Source organism: Homo sapiens, chromosome 6 (genome assembly GCF_000001405.40).
Source record: "Homo sapiens chromosome 6, GRCh38.p14 Primary Assembly".
NCBI lineage: Eukaryota > Metazoa > Chordata > Mammalia > Primates > Hominidae > Homo > Homo sapiens.
The window spans coordinates 44,663,637-44,672,617 of NC_000006.12; the positions used below are offsets into that span (position 1 = coordinate 44,663,637).

At 49.1% G+C, this 8,981-nt stretch overlaps 2 annotated features.

The window, feature by feature from the left end:
• Positions 3,471–3,979: an enhancer, noted in NCBI's record as "OCT4-NANOG-H3K27ac-H3K4me1 hESC enhancer chr6:44634844-44635352 (GRCh37/hg19 assembly coordinates)". NCBI's record gives its function as "activates a minimal SCP1, AML or CMV promoter by ChIP-STARR-seq in naive H9 embryonic stem cells {active_cell/tissue: H9 hESC(naive)}" and the evidence as "EXISTENCE:reporter gene assay evidence [ECO:0000049][PMID:30033119]".
• Positions 4,998–5,505: an enhancer, noted in NCBI's record as "H3K27ac-H3K4me1 hESC enhancer chr6:44636371-44636878 (GRCh37/hg19 assembly coordinates)". NCBI's record gives its function as "activates a minimal SCP1, AML or CMV promoter by ChIP-STARR-seq in naive H9 embryonic stem cells {active_cell/tissue: H9 hESC(naive)}" and the evidence as "EXISTENCE:reporter gene assay evidence [ECO:0000049][PMID:30033119]".

Consider the following 8,981-nt stretch of genomic DNA (forward strand, 5'->3'; position numbering starts at 1 on the left):
GAAGGGTGACAACAGGACTCTACAGTTCAGACCTGCAAGGGGCATGGCCTGGCTGGCAGGTGGGGCAGGAGAGTGTCCATGAGAATGTTCTGTGCAGCAAACCAAGCACTCGAAGTTTGTTCTCTGAGCTGAAGGGAGTTTTGAAGGTTTTAAGTAGGGGAGGGACATGATGTGATTTACATTTTGGAAAAGGTTAATCTGGCTGAAAGGATCAGGACAGGAGGGGGAGCAAAAGCAGGGCTCCCTTAGTGGTTGACAGTAACCCAGGCAAGCAAGGGAAGGGCCTGAAGGCAGTGGAGGTAAAGAGGAAGGGGCAAGGGACAATGGGATTATTGCAAGGCATCCCCCAGAATGCTATCCCCTACAGGGTCAAAGCCATCTCTCCGGGAGGAGACAGACTCCTGGTGCTATTAAGGTCACAGATAGGGAGCGATGCTCTCTGGATCCCAACCCAGCTCTGACTCCCAACACCAAACCAGTTCCAGGCTGGCAGGGCTGTCCTGCATTTTATGTCTTTGATGAAATTATGCCCAATGTGATATGTAATTTTTTTAAGGTAGGAAAGCATAATATGCTTTAGGAAGATTTCTATAAAACAATTAAAATATCAAAGAGTGCTTTCTCTGGAGAGAACCTGGTAAGTCATGAAGCTGGTGTCCCGATGCCAAGTGGTGACTGTAAAAGTATGTGTTCCAGCCACTGGGAACATGGGCTCCAAGAGAGGCCCCATCATTCAAGGTCTAGGGGGTGGCAGGGCGGGGTGGTGGTCCTTTAGAAGGGCTGTGTCTGACCTAGAGACCAACGGGGAGGTGAAAGATGAAAGGCTTTGAGAGAGAAGGACAGTGTGGGCAGCTTTTTAGAAAGGGCAGAGCCGGGCCCTGCTGCCATGGGAAGGGGCTCGCTGTGTTTACACGGTGACATCGGACCCACCACCAATGGCTCTTATTGAAAAGTGCGGTGGTCTCCACAGGAAGAGGAGAATGGTATGTTTCAGGCTTTCTCTCTCTCTCTCTCTCTCTCTCACCACCACCCCCCGCCCCACACACACACACATGCATACACATACACAGTCTTTTTAAATGTAAAGAGCAAGGGGAAAATGTCTATTTGCACATCTGGCTTGTTCTTTAAATAGCTCATTCCAAGAAAGAAATATGTTCTCCCTGCCTTAATTTATGTTTCTACCTTTTTCTTCCAATAGGCCTGCAGGAGGAAAGAGGGAGGGAGGGGAGGCCTGAGGCCTTGCAGGGATTCGGCAATGGCTTTGGTATGCTGCTGCCTACACAGCAGCATTTAACCCAATTACAGGATAATAAGGGCTCAGACAAATTATCTGCAAATAGATATGTCTATATGTAAACCCTCGTATTTGGAACATGCGTCTGGAGCCAAAGAAAAGTTAAGTGCTTAGCCAGAGAGCGACTGAGCTCACAGTTTTTTTCCCCCTCAGACCTGCATGTGGAGATACTTGACTTAGATAAATAAGAAATCCCAGGTACAGGCTAGATCCAGATGAGCAGTTTGACAGAAGGAGGAAGAGACTGTGCTCCCAGACTATTGCCATTTGGGGTATGTGCCTGCCCAGTGACCCAGGGTACACTGAGGGGCTTCGCTGGGTTGGCCCAGAGTGGCCCTCACACAGACTGCGGTCTCCGGGGGCTGCCTGGCCACCCTCCTCCCCTTCCTTCCCAGACAGCAAGAGCAGACCACCTAGAGAAATGCTCACAGCCCAGCCCAAAAGAAATTGCTGCAAGCCTAATTCACAAAGGCCATGGGCTGGGCTAAGGGCAAGTGGGGACAAAAGCAATGGAAGCTTTGTGCATTTTAGGATTCAAAGCCATCAACCAATGCTCAAAGAACTCCTGTGCTCATCAGCCCCCACACTTGAGCTGCACAGCAGAGAAAGACACTGAGGTGCAGAGAGGAGCCTCATGTTCTGGCCCATGAGGAAGTCAAAGCAGAAAGAACCCAGGTGTCCCCTCCACAGCACAGGACTCTTTTTGGGGCCAGCACCGCCCTCCAAGGAAGAACATGGCTGGGGAGTGGAAAACTGTTCTGGGCGGCACAGCTCCTCTCTGAGAGCACAATCTAGAAGAAGCTGGAATTTGTTTTCTTTTTTTCCCTTTGTCTCCCTAATAATTTACCCCTAGAGGAAACTTTTACAAATATGAATTACGTAATGCGCACAACAAAGTGTGCATTGGGTGATGCAAAATCCCTTCGTTGCCATGGGGGTATGTTTGCTTGAGTACAAACAGGAGCATGATCGGGGACGGCTCTGTGTGTGGGTCTGTGTGTGTCTGTGTGAGTGGCCGTCCCACAGCGGGCCCAGCACTATGATCTCTGAACCATTGTGCTGGCTTAACAGTTTACCCATTTCTCCATTCCACCGTGTGCTTGCTGGGCTACAGTTTTCTGCATTATGATGTGTTCTGCTGCACCTTAAAAACTGTTTTCTTTAGACAGGGTGTTTGCTGTTTTATATGGGGCTATTGAAACCAGCCCACATGTAGGCCTTGGAAAGTAGTTTTGATTCCCAGGGAGAGGGAAGTGTACCAACTGAGGCAGCTTTCCCAGAGGTTGTGGGGAGAGGGGGCTTTTCAGGTAAGACCTGCTAAAGACACCTGGACACTTTCCCTTGTCATTTCCAGGAACATCTTAAATCAGTTTGAACATCTGCAAGGCTTTGAGGATGGTCAAGTCAGGGCCTGGTGGGGAGGCTGGAGGAGGGAAGAAGCCCAGATGTCCAGCCTTAAAAGTCCTCTGTCTTAACTCTTGGAAGATGCCCCCAATCCAGCCAGGCCCACTCCTGCCTGCTTCTACCACCTGTTTTAGTACCAAGGTTTTAAATTTAGTTCAGTGTTCATAGAGCAGGGGCAGCTGAGTATGGAGCAGGGCAGGGAACGGTGGAGAGACCAGGGTGTTGCTTTTTTTTCAGACAGGAGGCCTGGCTTTTGTCGGGTGTGAGGAGGGACCCAGGTGTTTTTAGGCAGCCCCCAGAGCAGGCCTGGCTGTCTGGAGTGGATTTCAATTCTCATTTGCCAAACTACACTTTCAAGAGGTGTCAGATATCGAAAACCTCTCCCCCAAGCCAAAGCAAGCATTTGGGGAAGGAGAGGCACAGAAGGGGCTGCGGACGGTAGGAGAATATGCTGGCTTTTAAATTGGGAAAGAGAAATGTTCCTTCACATAGTGTTCCACGATGGGTATTTGTTTTTAAAATAATTGGTTAAGCTGTTCATAAAACCAGGTAAGTCTATTCTGCATTGCAAAGAAGACTGGGCAGAGCCTGGTCTTCCTGGCACAGGTGGGATTTTTGTAAACCAGAGCTTTACAAGACAAGGGCAGGGGCTGTGTCCTGGTGACCTGAGATGACCCACTTCTTAAGGGAAACCCAGAGGAGGAGAAGGAGGGAACGGCAAGAAAAGGTGTGAGGGAAGCATTGGAAGGAATGGAGGAAGGAGAGAAAGAGGAGAAGAAGGGAAGAGAAGGAGAAGAGGGAGAGGATGAAGGAAAGCAGGCGTGAGCACAAGTTTCTAACTCTGGGGTCTCAGGCCCCTCACCTGTATGAAGGACGAGGCTGGCAGAGCTTGGGAGCCCCAGGCTGTCTCAGCACCTCCATCCTTAAGCATCAATAACTTCATTGACAGTTGCCCCCTCTATAGGGTTCAGCATTCTCTCTAGTGACTCATGAAAGCATAAAATCAAGACATTCTGGGAAGCCAAGGGAATCTGGTTTAAAATGTGTGTTTGGGGAATGGAAAGCATTAGAAGAATGCTTGTGTCTGGACTATTCTGTTGTTTTCATCCTCTGTTTTCTCTTCAAATTAATGGATGAGTCATGGTCGTCTTTAGGCCTGTGAAATGCCTCCACAGGGGGTGTTGGGGGAGCTGGGATCTGACAGTCGCATTTGCTCCGGCTTTTTGGACTGTTCAGACCTGTGGCTGTTTTCCTCTTCCTCTTTCTATGTGTCTCCAGAGAAAGGATCTTTCCCATTAATAAGCAACACAACTTGAATGTGTTTCTCCTCCCTCCTCCTACCACCAGGACTAGACCGCCCACCTTGAATAAAACCCAGCCAAGTTACAGGATTTGCAGGCCAGGTTCCCCTGGATCTCTGCATGGTGCAGAATCTGGGAGGCCAGTTCCCATCTAGTTGAAGCCCTTCCTTTGCCCCACACACCTTTGATTCATCCCCCAGTGTCTGCCTTTTGTCAGTTCCCCAAACCAAGGGCACCCCTTCAGAGTGCACAGAAATAGCTTGTCAACCATCACAGGGTTAAAGAACAAGGTACAGCAGAGCCCCATTTTGCCGAGGTGCCTTCCCTCTTTTCTCCCTGCAGGTGGGCCCCTCCCTTCTCTTGCACTTCAAGGACTCCGCTCCTCCAGGGCCCACTGTTCAGCCTCCTTGGCCCTGCCCTGCTAAGCCTGCTCTGGCCCCACACAGCGCTGAGCCCCTGGGACTTTCACAAGCCAGCCATGCCCCATGATTATCTCTTGAGGGAGTCCTTCTTTCCTCTGCCTCCATAAAACCAGCTGTTCCTGAATGCTGGCGTTAGGAATGTGATATGTGATAATAAAAGGGACGAGAAAGAGAGAAGAGGGAGCATCTCATCTGAAGAGCTCTGCCAGCCTTCCCAAAGCCCTTTGCAGTTCCTACCCCTGCCGACAGATGGCTAAGTGACATCCTTGACTTGCTGTGCCGCCACCACCCTCACCCTGCCTCCAGCGTCCCTGGGGAAAGAGACCAAGACTTCTTTCATGGAGTGCCTACTATGCACCTAGAGTTTTTCATTATGCCCCAGGAACCCTGCCATTGAATCAGGAAACCGCTGAGGTTCAGGGAGGTTACTAAGCAGCCCAAGGTCACCTACCCAGAGAGGGGGCAAGCCAGATTCACTTCTGGATTCATCAACCTTCCAAGCAGGAGCTGACTGCCTCCTGGGCCCCAGAAACATCTTCCCAACCTCTAACTCATTTTTCTTCTTCCGGAAGACAGAACTGGCAGCATCCACGGCCCACTGCTCTCAGAGTCCTGGCCCACGGGCTCAGTCTTGAAACTACATCTTAGCTTGAGGCCAAGCGGTCTCCTGTGCCCAGATGAGACCTGCTGGGGAGGGAGTGGCAGAGAGGGCTGGAGAGCTAAGCCTGCCCCATCCCCCGTACCCGCATTTCCCCCTCTCTCCCCATCCCAGCCAACGTCCAAAATGCCTGAGTTTGTTGTGCCAAAATTAGGCAAAGAACATTTATACCTTATTACCAAGCCACATAGCAACAACTATGCAAATGATTAATTATGCATCAGATAACCTTCGCTGTACGTTTGATTTAATTACAACACTAAAATTCCAAATACATATATTCCATCTTTATAGATTCTTGCTTGTTGACTATGGTCATTTACTCAAAATAAATTGAGGGAACATTGTTTATACATGCCAGTTTCAAAGCCAGTAGAGAAAAGCTGATGTTTATGTAAGATGTGATTATAAAATAATGACTGTGTTTTTTCAGCAAACAGAGTAGGACTCCAAAGACATTCCACTGGAAGGCTCCATCCAATTCCAGTGGAGTTGCCATCGCTCAAGTTCCTTGTGGCATCTCTTTTGGAATTGCCTTCAGAGTCCATTTGTGTGGGCCACATGGAAAAAAAAATAAACCACTCCGTCCCACCTCGTTATTGACCAAAAAATTTCATTACCCAGTTTGATTACTCACCTAATTCACTGGGATTGGCTTCAAATGATTTTCAGTTGCTTCTAAATATCAGATCAACCCTGAAATGATGAGAGTTAGCAGGCTTTGAAGGACATTTCCAAGTACACTGAGCAGGCTCTGAGAACAATCCCAACAGAGTCAGGATCCAGGCAGCGTTGGCGGCGAAGTCAGTTTTGAGCTGAACCTTGAAGGATGAGAAAGCTCTGAGTGACCATATGAGCGCTCTTCAATGTACCAAGTGCTTTTTCCACCTAGCCCTTCTTTGGAGTCTCGCAGCAGTGGGAGGTGTTGTGATGATCACGCAATGGTAGGTGAGGGATTTAAAGGCCAGAGGGAAATCATTCATCCCAGTCCCATAGCTAGAAGACAAATAACAGGGCTGGAACTTGAAATCAAGGCTTTGTGTGCCTGCATGCATAGTGTCCACCTTCCCCCAATGTCCTGCAGGATCTCAGGAGGCAGAAGCCAGTGAGTAGGCTGGGCTGCCTGAAAGAGAGGAGTCCTGTAAACAAGAGGAGGAAGGCAAGGCCAAGGTGGTAGTTTGGGCTGGATTCTGGGAAGCTGTTGGTGCCAGGTTAAAGAGCATGACAGAGATTGAATGCTGTAGCTCCTGGGCACAGACCAGTGGTGGGGACAGCATGGGACCCCCCAACATTGTTGGCTCTTTCCAGACCTGGACAACAAGGGGTTCTGAGATGCCCCAACATGGTGAACACTGCAGGCTGCTTCACTAAACATCTGCCTAAACCAGCCTCTCTGACTTTCCCAAATATGAGGGGTTGGTTCTCTGCAGCCAGAGTTACCTGCTAATGGCGCAGGTATAGCAAATGGCAGCCTCACATGTGGCAGGAAAGATGGCAGCGAGCAACATGAGTGGTGGCCAAGTGTGGGTACATTGGATCCCCTGGGGACATGTTTGTTTTTTCTGGAACCATCCTGACTGGTTCCCAACATCATGGGTGTAGAGTTTCTGCTGAAATTGTCCTGTGGTGTGGTTGGGTATTTGTCTAGTCTGCATTGTTTTTGGTTGGGCAGCATCCTGGCTTGGTTCCTGGGCCTCCCAAGAAACTTTGCAAACTCCCACATACTCTGTAATAAACTCATTTTCATGTCAATAGCTAGAGTAGACTCTGTTGTCTGCAATTAAGCACTTTGTTCAATCCATCCTTCCGTACATTGCACAGATGTATTCTTTTCTTTAAACAATTTATTCAACATCTACTAGTATCAAGTTTTGTGTTTTGACTTGCATTTTTCTTGTTTAATACAACAACTGCCTTGTGACATAGTACCTACTAAGAGAGGAGTACACTGAAGCTCAGAGAGGTTAAGAAACATAACTCAAGCTGCAGAGCCAGATTTGGGCAGATTTTCAAGTTGTCTACCATTTTCCCATGACCTAAAGGTCTGAGAAAAGGATGCACTGGTGAAGGAACAAAGGTGTGTGTGTCTTTTTAAAGACAGGAGGTCCAGCGGGCCAGAGCGTTTTGAGAGGCCCTGACTGCACAACCTCAGGACAGATTTGATAATGAGAAACTGAGGCAAGGACCAGAGAGAAGGCTAATTTGGGCCCTTGTCCTCATTAGGTGCACCCTATCTTTGGGTGTGCCTTGCTTACTAATGGTGATGGATTCTGTAAAATGAGGCCAGATTCCTGTAAATTGAGATATGATTTTAAAGACACTTCGACAGCTCACTATTCACAAGACTACTGCAGAACCTCCTTTTATCATGGGAAGAAGCCTTTTGTGATCATACTGTCTTCTCTGCTTTCCTTTGTAATTCAAGATTTTCACAGATGGAGTCAGTGCACAGTGGGGTCCACCTTCCTTCTCTGCAGCCTCACCAAGGCTTCCCAGTGCTCTCCGGGCAAAAGGTTAAGGCAAGAGGAAGGGGAGTGTTTTAGTTCCAAAAATATCCCCTCTCTTTGAAGCAGGTGAATTCTTTCTATGCTTAGTTCTTTGGAACAAGGGTTGAAAGCCCAGGGCTCAATCCTTTCTTGTTGCAGAGAAATGGTTTGATCAGGGCTAGTCTCCATTTCTCAGCAACAAGGAACTGAAAACATGGAGGGCAACGATTTACATCAATGTGTTCAGCCTTCCCACTTCAGGTTCCCTCCATGACTTCTGGTTCCCCCCACGGCTCGAGGCAGGATGCCTCCCCTGCCCAGTGGGAACAGGGTCCCCAGCAGCCAGAGGAGTGCTCCTGGCAGCTCTGGCCTGGGACGGCCCCTAGGAGGCCCCCTCCCAACTCCTCCCCTCCTTAATTTCCTCACCCCCTTCACTCCCTTACCCCCTCATCTCCTTCAGCATCCTCACCTCCTTCACCCCCTTGCTCTCTCACCCCTCACCTTACTTATCTCTTTACCCCACCCTCCACTCCTCCCAAATTCTCCTAGCCCCCTTACACCCCTAATTCCTCTAATGTCTCTTACACTCTCAATCCCCAGCCCCTCAGTTCTTCTCTCCCCCTCCTCTCCCTCAGCCCCCCACCCCTCCCCTCCCTTACACTTCCCCACCATACCCTGCTCCCTTTGCATCCCTGCACCTTCGGCCCTGCACACAGCTGCTTCACCTCATCCGCAACCAGTTCCTTTTAGTAGAGGCTGGTCTGATGAAAACCAACCCAGGCCAATTTTCTGTAGATTCTGGATATGATCATTTCTATTGCAATGAATAGAAAACTTAGCTCAAAAACCGACTTGAACAGTAAGGGAATAACATATTAGAAAATGCAATGGAAAGGCCAGGAGTGGTTCAACTTGCAGGAATGGTTTGATCAGGGCTATGTCTCCATTTCTCTGTGATCTGCCCAGTTCTGTCCTTTTTGATGATTTGGCTTCATTTCATCCTGATTTCTCAGATGGTGGCAAAACAGCTGCAATTGTTCTGGGCCTCACATCCGCATACCACACTGTGGAGTGTGAGAGAGAGAGAGCTCTCCCACCCCACCCCCAAATATTTAACACGAGTCCTGTGCTTCACTCTGATTTAGCCAGCCTCAGACAGACATTATGGCCAGGAGAGTGTCAAGCACTGATGGGCTTGAGCCTAAGTTCCTTCCCATCCCGGAACAAATAAATCACTGTGGCAAGGGGGATGAAACTACATGGACTGGCTTATGGAGCTAGGAGAGGGATGATTTCCACCAAAGCAGCATGCTGCCCTACTGTGGGAGAGGATGGGGGATGGGGTAGGGGTGGGCTGGGAGCCATCACATTGTCTGCCTCCCAGTGACCTGGTCTTTGGTCTTAGGTACAATC